General features: G+C 34.8%; 1 protein-coding gene across 9 annotated transcripts in view; it reads left to right on the top strand.

Moving 5' to 3' along the window:
* Window positions 1-17,708, top strand: part of CCDC178 (coiled-coil domain containing 178) — a 503,635-nt gene that overhangs the window by 189,679 nt on the left and 296,248 nt on the right. For 8 of the 9 annotated variants that reach the window (NM_001371120.1, NM_198995.3, XM_011525951.2 and 5 more), the window contains one exon: window positions 5,934-6,117. In NM_001371120.1, the coding sequence (NP_001358049.1) occupies window positions 5,934-6,117 (184 nt within the window). Of the gene's footprint in view, window positions 1-5,933; window positions 6,118-17,708 lie in introns of those variants that run through there. The other variant, XM_011525954.3, reaches the window with a different exon arrangement.

Raw genomic sequence — 17,708 nt, 5'->3', positions numbered from 1 at the left:
CCTCAATTTAAACTAATCATCCTCTTCATAGGGAGTATAGATATAATGAATGAGAATTATCTCAATCTCTTACCAGCTTACTGGTACACAATACGAGTATATCCTTTTTCCCATGAATCATTATTCATCTTTAGCAGCCCATGAGCTTTGCATAATATTGCTCATTTTATAAAGTATGAAAACACAAAATAAACCTTAGTCCTGTAACTCATCTCTTTCTATTTTTTTTGTAGCAAAACTTTAAAAAATAAACACGTCTATTTCTGTGAACTCACAGTTAATTCTCTATTGAATCCACTCAACCAGGCTTATCTCCGTGTCATATTCTGGATCCAGTGTCAATTTTTCTCCTTAATTTGAAGGTTTTTTTATTGTTTTCTTATTCAGTTTTGCTTGGTAGGACATCTGATGACATTTTGGATATAATTTCTTTGTAAATAATTTGTCTTTTCTCTCTGGGAACTTCAGAATTTTCTTTTCTTAAGAGTTCTGAAATTTCACAATTTTGTTTGTAGCTATGTGTGTGTGTGTAATTTTTTCAGTTTAGTACTAAGTAAGACTTTTCAATTTGATGATCCTTGTTGGGTTTTGGTACTGAAATTTTTCGGGTATAGTTTTGCTATATACACCTGCTACCTATCTATCCTATTTCCTGTCCTATGATGTTCCGATAGGAGTCTGATAGTTGATTTGTGAATTGCTTCTTATAATTCTGCAATTTTATTACATATTTTGAAAATACATAGTCAGAGACATTGACTTAAATAAATATTTCATTTCTTGTTGAATTGTTTTCTTTTATTATCTACTTTTACCTTGTTTCTTATTCATGATTTTCTCATTAAATTATATTTTGTGATATTACTGTTGCTGCACTAATGTTTATTTTCAAATTTTTGAGTGGTTTAGTCCCCAGTCTATTTTTTAGGCAGCAGTGGAGCTTATTTTTTAAACATAGTATTATGATAAGCCTAATTAGTGACACTAGTTTTAAAACATGTTTAGATAATTCTAGACATTTTAAATTAATCTGGAATTATTTAGTTTTTCTACTGTCCTCCTGAGCATTACACATATTTTTGCAAAAAATAAATTACTATTGAACATCTTTACACTTGTCCTATTTTTAAAATAGTTATCTGGTGCCTTAGTTTCACTTTTAAATAATAATTTTTCACAATCAATACATATATTTGTTGACATTTCTCATTCATTTTTGTTTTTATATCATCTTGTTTATCCTTTTTGTTCACTTTCCAGTGGCTAAAATGATTCTTTAATAGTTATTTTAATAAAGAGAGAACCAAATCATGAGGGAACTCCCTTCACAATTGCTTCAAAGAGAATAAAATACCTAGGAATCCAACTTACAAGGGATGTGAAGGAACTCTTCAAGGAGAACTACAAACCACTGCTCAATGAAATAAAAGAGGACACAAACAAATGGAAGAACATTCCATGCTCATGGATAGGAAGAATCAATGTCATGAAAATGGCCATACTGCCCAAGGTAATTTATAGATTCAATGCCATCCCCATCAAGCTACCAAGGACTTTCTTCACAGAATTGGAAAAAACTACTTTAAAGTTCATATGGAACCAAAAAAGAGCCCACATTGCCAAGTCAATCCTAAGCCAAAAGAACAAAGCTGAAGGCATCACACTCCCTCACTTCAAACTATGCTACAAGGCTACAGTAACCAAAACAGCATGGTACTGGTACCAAAACAGAGATAGAGCTGAATGGAACAGAACAGAGCCCTCAGAAATAATACCACACATCTACAACCATCTGATCTTCAACAAACCTGACAAAAACAAGCAATGGGGAAAGGATTCCCTATTTAGTAAATGGTGCTGGGAAAACTAGCTAGCCATAGGTAGAAAGCTGAAACTGGATCCCTTCCTTACACCTTATACAAAAATTTATTAAAGATGGATTAAAGACTTAAATGTTAGACCTAAAACCATAAAAACCCTAGAAGAAAACTTAGGCAATACCATTCAGGACATAGGCATGGTCAAGGACTTCATGTCTAAAACACCAAAAGCAATGGCAACAAAAGCCAAAATAGACAACTGGGATCTAATTAAACTGAAGAGCTTCTGCACAGCAAAAGAAACTACCATCAGAGTGAACAGGCAACCCACAGAATGGGAGAAAATTTTTGCAATCTACTCATCTGACAAAGGGCTAATATCCAGAATCTACAATGAACTCAAACAAATTTACAAGAGAAAAACAAAGAACCCCATCAAAAAGTGGGTGAAGGATATGAACAGACACTTCTCAAAAGAAGACATTTATGCAGCCAAAACACACATGAAAAAATGCTCATCATCACTGGCCATCAGAGAAATGCAAATCAAAACCACAATGTGATACCATCTCACACCAGTTAGAATGGCGATCATTAAAAAGTCAAGAAACAACAGGTGCTGGGGAGGATGTGGAGAAATAGGAACACTTTTACACTGTTGGTGGGACTGTAAACTAGTTCAACCATTGTGGAAGACAGTGTGGCGATTCCTCAAGCATCTAGAACTAGAAATACCATTTGACCCAGCCATCCCATTACTGGGTATATACCTGAAGGATTATAAATCATGCTGCTATAAAGACACATGCAAACGTATGTTTATTGCGGCACTATTCAAAATAGCAAAGACTTGGAACCAACCCAAATGTCCATCAATGATGGACTGAATTAAGAAAATGTGACACATATACACCATGGAATACTATGCAGCCATAAAAAAGGATGAGTTTATGTCCTTTGTAGGGACATGGATGAAGCTGAAACCATCATTCTCAGCAAACTATCACAAGGACAAAAAACCAAACACCACATGTTCTCACTCATAGGTGGGAATTGAACAATGAGAACACTCGACACAGGAAGGGGAACGTCATACACTGGGGCCTGTTGGGTGAGGGAAGGGGGAGGGATAGCATTAGGAGCTATACCTAATGTAAATGATGAGTTAATGAGTGCAGCACACCAACATGGCACATGTATACATATGTAACAAACCTGCACATTGTGCACATGTACCCTAGAAGTTAAAGTATAAAAAATAAAAATAAAAAAAAATAAAGGCTTTCTGGTAAATTTTCTTAAGCTACGTCAGTTTAGCTCATCAATGTTGAATAATAATTTGGCAATGTATGGAACTATAGCTTCACATTTATTTTTGCTTAGATTTGAAGATAATAATTTTCTTTTGGCATTTATTACATCACTTTGTATGTCCTTAATAAGTATCTTTAATATTCTGCTGTTTTATCACAATATCTTTAGCTATAGATTTTTTATTTTTATAATGTTCAGTACTCACAATTGATTTTGTTATCTGGTCTGTGGTCCTATTTTTTTCTCAAGTCTAGAAATTTCTCGCATTTTTAAACTAATCTTCATAGGGAGTATGGAAAATTTCTCTAGTCTTTACACAACATACCTTATTATTGTTCCTTCTGAAAATCAACTGGAATGTCGCTTAACACATACTCAAACACACACCACACATTCATCCCACTCCATTTAATGCGTGGACTGTGTTTTCCACAAAACAAATACATGTATAAACATGCACAACATATATACACATACATGCACAAAGATTAACACACATATACACATATGTACACAGTAAACACAAAAAGTTTACACAAGCACAAATATGCATGTGTACACAAACATAAGTACCCATAGACTCAAAAGTATACATACACTATGTATAGACACAAACGTGCCACACATATATATTGTGTGTGCTTGCACACACACCCCATATTTTTTGTGTTATTTGAGTAAATACCTTAGTACTTCATTCCTTCCTATTAATCCAAAACTCTCTTTGTCTCTTCTCAATTTGGGGTTTTTTGGTTCTATTTCAAAACTATTTTAATTATTTCTGTCCATATTTCTTTTCATTATTCCTTAAAATTTGTTGTCTTCCCCATCTATCTATTTTTGTCTAATTTCTGCTGTGTGTCAAAATTTCTTTTCCTTTTACAAAATCAGTGATTTCTTTACTTAGATCTTTGAGCATTTTAAATATACTTATTTTAAGTTCTTTGTCAGAATGTTTCATAAAATCAGTATCACCTAAAGTGCTTTGGGTTCACACTCTGATTGCTAGGTCTTTGGAAACAAGATATTTCTTAATATGTTTTGGTGTCCTTTTTGAGGCCTCCCATTCTAAATAAGCAGGTCTCTTTTCTCTCTCTGTCTCTGTCTCTCTGACTCTGTCTCTCTCTCTCTCTCACACACACACACACACACGTAACACACTTACATATATACACATACACCCCTCTCTCTCCTACACACATATCTTCTTGTTTATCTCTTTCCAATTGAAATTATGTCATTGCTTCTACCTCACCCTACTTGGTCCCAATTAACCAATCTTTAAATTCTTCCATTTATGGTCATCTTTTCTGATTCCCAGTGATCATACAAAGATGATATTGGGGATAACATTATTGCAATTACTGATTCAATAGGCAGCATTGTTGAGTTATTGGTCTCAGGATCTGTTCTCCTCAATGCCTTTGCTCCTTGCTCTCTATGTGTCTTTAGCCCCAGTCAGTGAATGATCCTTTCACATCAAGCACAGCTCATGCAAAGCCCTGTCATGAGTCAGTGAACCTTGCACTGGTCGCTCATCTGGTGCAACACCTTCAGCTAGTTTTATGCTTCTTCTCCTCTACTTATGCTTTGATTTTTGACCCCATTTCTATTCTACCTTGTTTGTGAGCCTAGCTATGTCTCCTGCTTGCCTTGAATGTATGTTTATTCTTATTTCTACATCATTCTTTCATCCTATTTTGGAATAGGTGAAAATGAAGGATCAATGCAGCTCATCATCAGCTGATTTGGCCACACTAATTCAATCTTCTCTGTGTTCTGTTAAGTGAAAGCTAATCATGTGTATTCACCCCAACCTCTTGAGCAGTGCTACTTGAATGAAGTGTGATCTGCAACCAAGTGTCATCAACCTGGGAGCTATTCTCAGACCCATCCTGCATCTAATGAACCACATTCTGAGAGTGAAGCCTGGGAATCTGTGACTTTCAAAGCTCTCCCTGTGATTTTTATGTGTATACAAGGTTTAGATACCGCTCCAGTTAATATCTATAGTTTGCTTTCTGGTTGCATGTTAGAATCAAATGGAGTGCTTAAAAATAGTGATGCTGGAGCTTTACCCCAGATTTATTGTATATTATTATAAGCCTACTAATCCATTTTTAGAAGCACAAAGTTTTATTAAATGCTTTGCAGGTTATTATAATGTGGAGTTAGTGTTGAGAACCATTGCTTTATTCAAGTGGTTCTCAACAGGGATAATTTTGTACCTTTAGGGGATTTTTGGCAGTGGCTGGAGACATTTTTGGCTGCTACAACTGAGACAGTGCTGCTGGCATCTAGTGGAAGATGCTGCAAAATATCTTACTTACAATGCACAGGACATCCCACCTACAAAAAGAATTGTGCCACCACAAATGTTAATAATATCGAAGTTGAGAAACTTTGCTCTTGTATATGCTTTGGTTTTTGTTTAGGCTTTTCCATTGAACATATTCTCTCGTAAAAACACCTTTATGGAAGTCACAAATTGAAATGGAAAGGAGTATAGAAGGGATTTTGAATGTTCAAAAAGCCAAGCACCCGGATTCCCCAAGCCTTTCTTATTGATGCTCTTATGCTTCTGAAATTGGAAACAGCCTGACAATTAGGGGTAACCATCAGAAGCAGCAGAATAAATGGAGTCCTAGGACACATGTTCTGTCTTCAAGTTTTAGCTAATTATCCAGCAATTTTGTATTTTTGACAACATAAAATATGATCTTATTCTTTTTTACTATTATTAAATATGTTTGTCTCACTATATACTCAATAATATTAATTTTTGCTTTACTTTTACAGCATACGGAAAAAATCAAAATACGAATCTGAAATAAAATATTTGACAATAATGAAGTTAAAGAATGATAAACATCTCAAGAACATCTATAAGGAGGCTTATCGCATTGGTACTCTTTTCCACCTAACCAAACACAAGACAGATGAAATGGAAGATAAAATAGCAGAAGTGAGAAGAAAGTTCAAGGTTGTGTATCTTTGTGTTCCTCTTACTCATGATGAAAAAAAGAGTAATTTACCTGAATTGTATCGATTTCATCTTGATAATTAGATTTTAATTTAAGGATTAACAGTCTTTTCAAAAACTCACTTCTTATAAATGAGAAGAAAACCACCTCTCTCCAAAGGCTCAGCTTGAATAGAAGAGGATGAGGGCTCAATGTAGCTAATCCACAATTGTTTCTACTTTTTGCTATTATCAACCATAAACTACTTGGAGCACCAGGAGTGTGGTGCTCAGTTCATCTTTATCCTATATATCTAACACATAATAATGTCTGCCTGTAGTAGGAAGAAGGGATTCTGAGAGGTGTTCGTCTACCTTATGTAATGTGAGAATAGAAAGTACCTCTAGTAGGCCTATGAGTTGTTGAATTCTAGAGTACCTGGAAATTTGTAGACTACATTTCTGCAGAAATAATTGCTCACATGCTTCAAACCCACTCCTAAGTGAGAGATGTATTGGCTAGCAGCTCTCTGCCATTTGTGGTAGAGGCTTTGTATTAGTCCATTCTCACGCTGCTATGAAGAAATACCTGAGACTTAGTAATTTATAAAGAAAAGAGGTTTAATTGACTCAGTTCTGCATGGCTGGGGAGGCCTCAGTAAACTTACAATTATGGCAGAAGGCACCTCTTCACAGGGTGGCAGGAAAGAGAGCCAAGCAAATGGGGAAGCCCCTTATAAAACCATCAAATCACATGAGAACTTACTCACTATCATGAGAATAGCATGGGGGAAATGCCTCATGATTCAATTATCTCCACCTGGTCCCACCCTTGACATGTGGGGATTATTACAATTCAAAGTGTGATTTGGGTATGGACACAAAGCCAAACCATATCAGACTTGCAAAGTCCACCCCACTTTACTGCACCTGCAGGGCCACTTCAACAGGCTGCTTTCATCCATCTTACACACATACGTGTCTCCTGTCTTTGCTATTTTCTTAAAGACTTATGAGCAAAAAAAAATACCTAGAAAATATACAGTCTGTACACCATTTCCAACATCTGTTGCTAGCATTATCGTCAATGAATACTTTCCTTTGTGATATCTGAATTTCGGATGTGTAAATGTTTCTGTACTGAAAGATTGGGGTGTTTTTCCCACATTGAATCCAGCTGTTCAAATGACCTATGTCTCTCCTAATGGGTGTTGAATGGGTTAATCATATCTTCTATGAGATAAGTGAGTAAGCAAAGTAAGCATGCATAGAATAAATTAAAATACAAGGCATATGATTCTGTGGTTTAGCAATACAATAATATTGTAGATGTTTATAATTTTTAAAATAATATCAATATATTTCTGTATTTTGGTCAGTTAATTTTTTTTTCTTTGAGGATATCAATGAAGATATCATCATCCACTTACTTGGCCACTTAACTGTGTATTTCAATTTTTCTAATTGACTCGAAACCTTTGTCATCTTTCACATATTTTCCCCGTGGCTGTCACAAACTACATTTAATTCTTTGAACATATTGCTTCATTTATCTGAGGTACTCACTTATGAAAGAGATGTTGCACTGGATTATTTATTTTTCTAAATTTTTTTGATACCATAAAATAGAACTTACAGATTCAATGCAAGTTTGATGTAACTCTACTGTAATTGCTTTGCCAGCCCATAATAGAGTGCCCCTTTTCTGTTATTTTTAATTTTATTTTTTAAATTGACATATAATAATTGTAGATATTTATTGGGTACATAGTGATATTGCCATACATGTATAATATAGTGATCAGATTAGGGTAATTAACATACCCATCATCTCAAACATTTATCATTTCTTTGTGATGAAAATATTCAATATCATCTTTCTAGCTATTTGAAAATGTATATTATTCTTAACCATAGTGATCCTACAGTGGTATGGAACACGAGAACTTATTCCTTCTATCTAGCCATCATTTAGCATCCTTTAAAAAATCTCTGTCTCCTACTTCTTCCAACCCACCCCACTTTTCAGTATTCTCTGTTCTACTTTTTACTTTTGTGAGATCAATTTTGGTTCGTTTTCACATATGAATGAGATTATGTAGTATTTAACTTTCTATTCCTGAGTGACTTCACTTAACATAATGTCCTCCAGTTCCATCCATGTTTCTGCAAATGATAGGATTTCATTCTTTCTTATGGCTCAATAGTATTCCATTGTGTATATATACCACTTTCTGTTATTCATTTATCTGTTGTTGGACACCTAATTTGATTCCACATCTTGGCTATTGTGAATAGTGCCACAAAAAAAACATGGGGATACAGATGTCTCTTCAATATATGAATTTCCTTTGGATAAATAAACAATAGTGGGATTGCAGGATGATACAGTACTCCTATTTGCAGTTTTTTGAGGAACCTCTGTCCTGCTGTCCATAGTGTCTGTACTAATTTTAATTCCCACCAACAGTATATGAATTCTCTTTTTTCCACATCTCACCAGCATTTGTTATTTTTTCATATTTGTATACTATCCATCCTAACTGGAGTTTGATGATACAGTTGTGGTTTTGATTTGCATTTATCTGGTAATTAGTAATGTTGAACTTTTTTTCTTGTATTTGTTAGCAATTTGTATGATTTTTTTTTGAAAAATATCTGTTTAGATCATTTGCCCATTTTTAAATCAGATTTTTTTTGTTTTTTTGCTGTTGAGATGTTTGAGTTCCTTGTGTATTCTGGATATTAATCCCCTGTTGCATGAAAATATTATAAATATTTTCTCTTGTTCTTTAGGTGGTATTTTCACTCTGTTGACTGTTCCCTTTGCTGTGCAGAAGGTTTTTAGTTAAATATAATGTAATTTGTTTATTTTTGTTTTTGTTGCCTGTGCTTTTGAGGTCTTTGGAATAATATCTTTTCTTGGGCCAATGTTCTGAAGCATTTATCCTATGTTTTCTCTTAGTAGTTTTGTAGTTTGGGGTCTTACAGTTAGGTCTTTGACCCATTTGGAGCTGATTTTTGTATAGAGGGTCTAGTTTCATTCTTCTGCAGGTGGATATCCAGTTTTCCTAGCACCATTTATTGAATAAACTGTCCTTTCCCAATGTAGGTTCTTGGTGCCTTTGTCAAAAATCAGTTGGCTGTAAATATGTGAATTAATTTCTGGATTTTCTGTTCTGTTTAACTGGTCTATGTGACTGTTTTTATGCCAGTACCATGCTATCTTTGAACACAGCTTTGTAGTGAATTTTGAAGTCTGGTAGTATAATGTCTACAGCTTTGATCTTTTTGCTAGGAATGCTTTGGTAATTTGAAGTCTTTTGGGGTTCCATACACATTTTAAGATGATTTTTTCTTTTTCTATTAAGAACATATTTGGTATTTTTATAGGAATTGCATTGAATCTGTAGATTGATTTGAATAGTATGGTTAACATACTATTTTAACAATATTAATTGTTTATCAATTTTTAACAATATTAATTTTAACAATATTAATTTTTCCAATCCATGAGCATTGGATGTTTTTCCATTTTGTTTGTATCCACTTCAATTTCTTTTATCAATGTTTCATAGATTTCCTTGTAAAAATATTTCACCTCGTTAGTTAAATTCATTCTTAAGTATTTTATTTTTATTTTTTATAGCTATTGTAAGTAGGATGGCCATCTTATTTTTTTCAGCTAGTTCATTGTTCATGTATAAAAATGCTACTGAATTTTCATGTTGACTTTATATCTCGCAACTTTAAGGAATTTATCAGTTCTACAATTTTTTTGGTAGAGTCTCTCTCTACACACACACACACACACACACACACACACACACACACACGATCATATAATCTGCAAAGAGGGTCAATTTGATTTTCTCCTTTTCAGTTTGGATGCCTTTGTTTATTTTTCTTGCCCAATTGCTCTGACTAGGACTTCTAGTGGTATATTGAATGAGATTGGTTAAGAGTGGGCTTGCTTGTCTTGTTTAGTTCCTAGAGGAAAGACGTTTAGCTTTTCCCCACTCAGTATGATCTTAGTTGTGGGTTTGTCATATATGGACCTTATTGTGTTGAGATATTTTCCTTCTGTACCTAATTTATTATGAGGTTTTATCATGAAGAGATGTTGAATTTTATAAAATGCTTTTTCTGCATCTATTAAGATAACCATGTGCTTTTTGTCCTTTCTTCTGCTGATGTATGTATCACATTTATTAATTTACATGTGTTGAACCATATTTTCATTCCTGGATAAATTTCACTTGATTATGGTGTAATATCTTTTTGATGCGCTGTTGGATTCAGTTTGCTAGTGTTTTGTTTAAGTTATTGCCTCTATTTTCATACATATTGGCCTGCAGTTTTAATTTTTTGTTTTCCTCATGTGTATTTGATATTGAGGTTATGCTGGCCTCATAGAATGACCTAGGAAGAATTTTCTCTGCCTTAATTTTGTGGAATAGTTTCAGAAGAAATTGTTTCAATTCTGCCTTAAAGGTTAGTAGAATTCAGCAGTGAAGACATCTAGTCCTGAATTTTTCTCTGTTGGAATACTTTTTAGAACTGATTCAATCTTGTTACTTGTTATTGGCCTGCTTACGTTTTCCTTTTCTTCTTGATTCAATCTTGGTAGATTGTATGTATCCATTTCCTCTAGGTTTTCATATTTATTAGTGTATAACTGTTCATTGAAGTTTCTAATGATCCTTTTTATTTCTGTTGTTATCTATTGTGATGTTTCCATTTTGTTTCTGATTGTATTCATTTATGTCTTCTCTCTTTTTTTCTTAGTCTAGCTTTTTCTCAATTTTGTTTATTTTCTCAAAACATCGACTTTTTGTTCCATTGATTTTTGTACTGTATTTTTAGTCTCAGTTTCATTTATTTCTGCTTTCATCTTTATTATTTATTTCCTTCTAACTTTGGGTTTGTTTTGTTCTTGCTGTTTTAGTTCCTTGAGATCATTACATTTTTATTTCAAATCTTTCTAAGTAGTGTATGCATTTAGTGCTATGAACTTGGCTGTTAAAACTGCTTTTGCTGTGCCCTATAAATGTTGATATATTTTTTTATTTTTATTTGTTTCAGTGAATTTTTCAATTTTATTCTTAATTTCTTCCTTCACCCATTGGTCTTTCAGAAGCATATTGTTTAAATGCCATGCATTTGTATAGTTTTAATCTTCTACTTATTATCAATTTCTAGTTTTCTTGTAAGTGGTCAGAGAAGATACTTGATATAATTTTAATTTTAATTTTAAAAATGTTTTAAGATTTTTTTGTGTCTAAACATATGATTGATCCTGGAGAATATTTCATGTGCTGATGAAAAGAATGTATTCTGCAGCTGTTCAATGAAATGTTCTCTAAATATTGAAATAGCTCTAAACATTCTCTAAATATCTGTTAGGTCCATTTGGTCAATGGTGCTATTTAGATCCCATATTTCTTTGTTGGGTTTTTGTCTAGGTGGTCTGTCCAGTGCTGAGAGTGGGTTGTTAACATCCACAACTATTAATGTATTAGATCAATCTCTCTTTAGATCTAATAATAGTTGCTTTATATATCTGGGTGCTCTGGCATTAGGTATATATGTGAGTGTATGTGTTTACAAATTTTCTCTTACTGAATTAATCTTTTTTAGTATATGTTTTCCTTTGTCTCTTTTTACAGTTTTTCATTTGAAGTCTGATTTGTCTGATATAAGTACAGCTATTCTTGCTCACTTTTGGTTTCTGTTTGTGTGAAATCTTTTTTTTTTTTTTTAACCACGTCACTTTCAGTCTTTGTGTCATTACAGGTTAATGAAGTAAGTTTCCTGTAGGCAGCATATAGTTGGGTCTTTTTTAGTCAATCCAGTTGGTCTATATCTTTTAAATGAGGAATTTAATTTGTTTATTTTCAAGGTTATTATTGATAAATGAGGAATTAATCCTGTCATGTTAGTGATTGTTTTCTGGTTGTTTTGTATGTCCTATGTTTCTTACTTCATCTTTTACTGTTTATTTTTGTGATTGGGTTGTTTTCTGTAGTAATAAGGTTTGACTCTTTTCTCTTTCTACTGTGTATATTGGCTCTGCCAGTGAGTCTTATAGTTTTGCATGTTTTCCTGATAGTTATTGTTTTTTCACCACCAGATGTGAAACCTATTGGGCCTTTCTTTTAAGGCCTATTTAGTGGTGATGAATTTCCTTAGGTTTTCTGTTCTGTAGAATACTTTTCTTTTTCATTTCTGAATGATAGCTTTGCTGGATAGAATATTCTTGGCTGGCAGGGGTTTTTTTTAAGCCTTTTAAATATACCATCCCATTATCTCCTGATTTGAAAGATTTCTCCTGGCAAATCCACTGTTAGTCTTATAGCAAATTCTTATATGTGACGATGCTTTTCTCTTGCTCTTTTTAAATTTGTTCTGTCTTTGACTTTGGACAATGTGACTACAATGTGCCTATGACAGGACTTGTTATGTTGAATCTATTTGGCATTATTTGAGCTTCCTGGATCTAGATGTCCATCTCTCTCTCATGACTTTGGAAGTGTTCACCTATTATTTCATTAAACATGTTTTCTACATCTTTCTATTTTCTTCTTCTGGAATGCCCATAATACAAATGTATGTTCATTTATGCTGTCCCATTAATGGTGTCATTCTTTTCATTGTTTTCCTCTGCCTTGTTATTTCAAAAGACTTGTCTTCAGGTTCATAAATTCTGCCTTCTTCTTGTACTAGTCTATTATTGAAGCTCTTGATTCTATTTTTTTTATTTCATTTACCATATTATTCAGCTCTAGTTTTCTGTTTGGTTCTTTTTTAATAATATCTATATCTTTGTTGTATTTATCATTCAAATCATAAATTGTTTCCTGATTTTATTGAACTATCTGTATTCTCTTGTATCTCTCTGAGTTTCCTTATGATTATTATTTTGAATTCTTTTTCTGGCATTTTATATATTTCTTTATTATTGGGGTATGTTACTGGAGAATTATTGTCTTCCTTTGAAGGTGTCATTTTTCCTTGCTTTTTCATGTTTATTGTTTCCTTATGTTGGTATCTGTGCATCTGGTGGGACAGTTGGCTCTTCCGATTTTATGGAGTACGTTATGTAGGGAAACTTATTCATGTTGATGAGTCTTGGGGTATCAGTTTTTTAGAGTTTGTTGTATTTAGTCCCAGGTGGATACAGTAATGTAGTCTCTATGTAGTTTCTTCAGCTGTAATCTATGCTAGTGACATTTGCAAGTGTCTCACTTGCCTAAGCTGAGAGAATCTGTGGTGGTGTGACTTTGTTAAGAGTGGACTCACTGGGCTGTTTCTCAGATCAGGGACACATGTGTACACATGATGGGTCAGCTAACTTAGGGTCTGGCTCACTGGGGTTGAGGCCACAGGGCTGTTACTCTGTCTGGAAGTATGGGCATGCAGTTGCTCAACTGCCTTCAGGTGTGTCTTCAGGGCAACCCATGTTTTATTTATGTTTTTTTTTTTGTTTTTTTCAGTCTTGGGACCAGGTTCACAGCCACTTGGCCAACCTAGAGGCATGTCTGCCAGGGGTGGCCTGTGGGGCCGTTTCTCATGCCCAGCACATGGCCATATGGTTTCCTCGCTGGCCTGGAGTTGTGTTTGCTAGAGGTGGCCCATGGTGTTGTTTCTCAGGCCTAGAACATGGGCATGCAGATGCTTGGTTGGTATGGGGGGCATTTCAGCCAGGGGGAGGGGAGGGACAAGAGGCTGTTTATCGAGTCGACATGGGCACAAAGCTGATCAGCTGGCCTGGCAGCATGTTTTCTGTGGAAACCCATGGAGCTGTTTCTCAAGCCTCTGACATGGCTGTATGGTTTCTTGGCTGGCCTAGGGGCAGACCAGCTGTTTATTGGCTCGGGGACCTTTTCTACTCAGGGGTGGACATGCACTAGTTTGGCTGGTTCAAGGGTGGGTTTGCCCTGGGTGGGACTCAGATCCTTTCCTAGATGGAAGTGCTGGGGGTGGAGGGGTTGGTTTCCATGATGTGCAGGACCAGAGTCACAGCCAATCCTTGACCCAGGCTCCACACAGCTAGGGTTGTAGAGTGTAGCCACTGGGCTTGGAATGAAGATGGAGCGCCATTGCTGCAGAGGTGCAGTGGCTACTGGCCTCCAGAGAAGGGTACACTCTAGAGGTGGCTCTGGTATCAAGACAGTGCTGTGCTGCAGCAGCTTGGCTCACAGGAGGTGGGTGGGAGTTGGGGGAGTGCATAAGTTGTTCCTCTAATTTGAAGCAATGCAACAGTATAAATTTTCAGCAGCTCTCCAAACTGGGCTCAGGGCTTATGAGGACTGTGGAATTATCTTGTAGTAAATACTGTAGGTATTTACAGTGGCAGTGGGGGCTGATGAGGTTCCTCTGTTTACCTTTTTCCTGCAAAGGGAAGTTGCCCCTAGTTTTGGGCCCATCTGATTCAGGAACAGGAGATGGGGCTGCAGAGGCCAGGTGCCTTCGTGCTGCTCTCTTGGACTTCCAATTACCAGAGTTGCCTCTCCACTCCCCTGCTCCACTCCAGCATTCTCTCTTTGACACTGCATTCAAATCTTCATTATTTATTTGTTGCTTTGGTTCTTTTTGGGGTGCGGATGAACTCCAGGCACTTCTAGTGAGCCATCTTGTTGATGTCACTCTCCCTTTCTCTCTTTATTCATGCAAAATTAAAGAAAGTATTCATCATGTTGTTTCCTTACCTCATGGGAGCTGATTGATCACTGGAAAGAAGCAACAGAAAGAAACTGGTCCACTTAAGAAACCATTCCCAATGGTTAATCACTCCTGCTAATTTCTGAGCCTGAATATATACGGCATTAAAAACTTCTATAATATACACATGCATATCTGCTTCAGAGTTCAAAATAAATTCAAAATAAATTTCTAGATTTTCCTTAGATAATTCAGGTTTATAGTAATTCAAGTTTGTAATTTTTGCCTGTGTAATGACCCTATTATCTTTCATGGACTGATTCATGAAAATCTTTAGAACACTCTAAATCTGAGAATTATGTTTTCCTTTTAAGTAACTTTCTGTATTTGTTGAGCCTGGCCTGAAATTAATCTTTAATCCATCATCTAGAAATTAATTATAGGAATATCACTTCTAGGGTAGCTCCAAGAAATAGGCTTTTGAAACTCTAGAGGTAGAATTTATGAATTATGTTCTCTCAAGTTAATGCATCTGTAAAATGCCAGATAAGTTTTAGGCAGTCTTAGAGTAGAAGCAATCCTGAACAAGAAGTATGTCTAGCACTTTCTCTAATTTTTTAGCTATTACAAATGATTTGTCCCAGTTTTTCCATATTTTCAATTCCAATAACTGACCTATTCAGAAAAGAGGTGTTTGGCCAAGTGTCAGAATAAAATTAGCCAATTGGGATAGGGAATAAGTCAATTTAATAGTAATATGTATTCAATTATAGTGTTGATGGAATGAACAGAAAACCATCTAGAATTGTCTAAAGAATGCGACATTGCAACCAAAAATTTTGAGAGCTTTCACCAGTTGTTAAGTACTTCCTAGCACTCCAGCTGAAATCTTCTATGCAAGCTGCATAATCTCGAAGGGTTTTTTGCTTGAATATAATGGAATTCTGGTGGAAAAGTGAGAACATCAGGTCACTCTGGTTCCAGGTTAGAATCATAGTGCTAGAACTAAGTGGAAACTTAGTAAAAAGGAAGGAATAAAGTAGACATAAAGAGTTTTCTTCAAGCCTATTTTATGAAAAACCCCTTATACATGCTAATTAATTTAACATTCACAAAACTGTGCAATTGTTATTAACACATTCATTTTGGGAGTAAAGGGATTTTCCCAAGGTAAGCTTTTAGGTGACTGTGTAGAGTTTAGGGACCAGGACATCTCATGCCAGTCTTGGTAGAGTCGTAAGACATTAGACTTACATTGTGACCAACAAAGATTCAGTTAAGCTGAAAGCTTCAAAATAATCATACTGGGGGTGGGGGTCGTTTTCAATGCTAGAAAAAGACAGTGTGTCAAGTCCTTAGAAAGTTCCAGTCCACAGTAATCTGGTGCATAACTTTAGAAGTCTATGACTTGCCTTGAGTGCTTTTTCAGATATTTTAACTAATCTCAAACTGTTCTTTATGTTCTCAGACCTCCCTTCAACTACTATTTGTTCACCTCTGAGACAAGGTTTATAGGCCCATCCTTTGAGTAAAATAAAAGTCAGAACCTTCTCAAAAGTTTCTTGGAGGGCATAATTTCTGCTAGTACTTAGAGCATCTTTAGTTCAATCAACAGAACAAAACAGATCTAATAAACTAAAGCTTAATGTATGCACCATGCAACTTCTATAAGAATTCCAGATAAGACTGATAATATTTTTAAGTAGTTATAAAATGAACATTCTATTAATTCATTAATTTTTATCCCAAAGGATTTATGCCTTATAGCATGTCGAATCTGGAGCATATTACTCTTGTCCCACATGTAATAGCTTTTATTGAGTTATGAATTGCTATCACATCCTTGGCTTTTAATAAAGGTTGGTAAAAGTAATGGCTAAGATTGACCATTGCTTCTTGGTTTTTCAAATTAATAAGGGAGTTAGTCATATTGTCAATATGCTCAAAAAAACCTACAAAAGTAATTGACCTTAGATTTCCAAACTAAAAAAGTTGTTTTTTCTTGATAAAATTTATTTCTTTTTAATTAATAATTAAGAGTTCCCTACACTTTCTTATTTCTCTCTGAGTTAAGCTGCTTAGAAGCTCAGTTATTTATGCTGAACGTTTCTAGGATAATCACTTCCTTATCTCTCTCTGTTCCATATTTATAACTTTGATCTGGTATTTTTTTGCTTGTTTCATTGGTCTTCGTTTACTAAGATTCTTTTCCACTCCATTCATAGGCAGAATACTTTGCCAAAATTGAATGGAAAGGAATCTGCTATTAATCATAATATTGGGAATGTGTAATCTGTATTAGTGGGAAATGGTTGCCGGGAAAAAGGGAAGGAGAATACAAGGAAAACAGAAATAGTGTGAAGGTACAGCAGGATTAAAGTCCCACAATGGCTGCTAAGTAACCCCTTGGTCAAGCATCAGAAGAGTTCATTTTTCCTGACACATTTGAGGAAGTAAATAAACATGAAAATGTGATAGAAATAAAGCATTGAACATTTATGGATCTTGATAGTACAAAACATTTGAGAATATAATAAAACTTTATTTAGCTTGCTATAAATATCATATGGGAACATAATTTCCTTCTCCATTCTACTGGGTTAGTACTTTGCTTGTCAGAAATTGGATGGCAAGTTGACTTTTCAGTATTTCCATTTAATTATCTGAACTTTGTTTCTACTTTTCTTCTTCCTGTTTGAAAGGAAATGTGGTTCAATTGAAAAAGCATGGACTTTAGAGTCAGATGTTTCTTAATTCAAATCCTGGCTGGTTATGCTAATTATTGGCTCTAAGAATATTAAAAATATACTTAACTTTTCTTAGTCTAGGTTTCTCATCTCTTAAATAAATGTAACAGTATCTATATGGTACCTTTGGGTGATAAATACATAATATTGTGTATAAAACATTCAACCTGGAGCCTGACAAATAATAAATTCTTAAAGGTA

The sequence above is a fragment of the Homo sapiens genome, chromosome 18 (assembly GCF_000001405.40).
Source record: "Homo sapiens chromosome 18, GRCh38.p14 Primary Assembly".
NCBI classification, from domain to species: Eukaryota; Metazoa; Chordata; class Mammalia; order Primates; family Hominidae; genus Homo; species Homo sapiens.
Note: the sequence above shows the minus strand (reverse complement) of the source record. Positions and strands in the feature narration are given on the sequence as shown.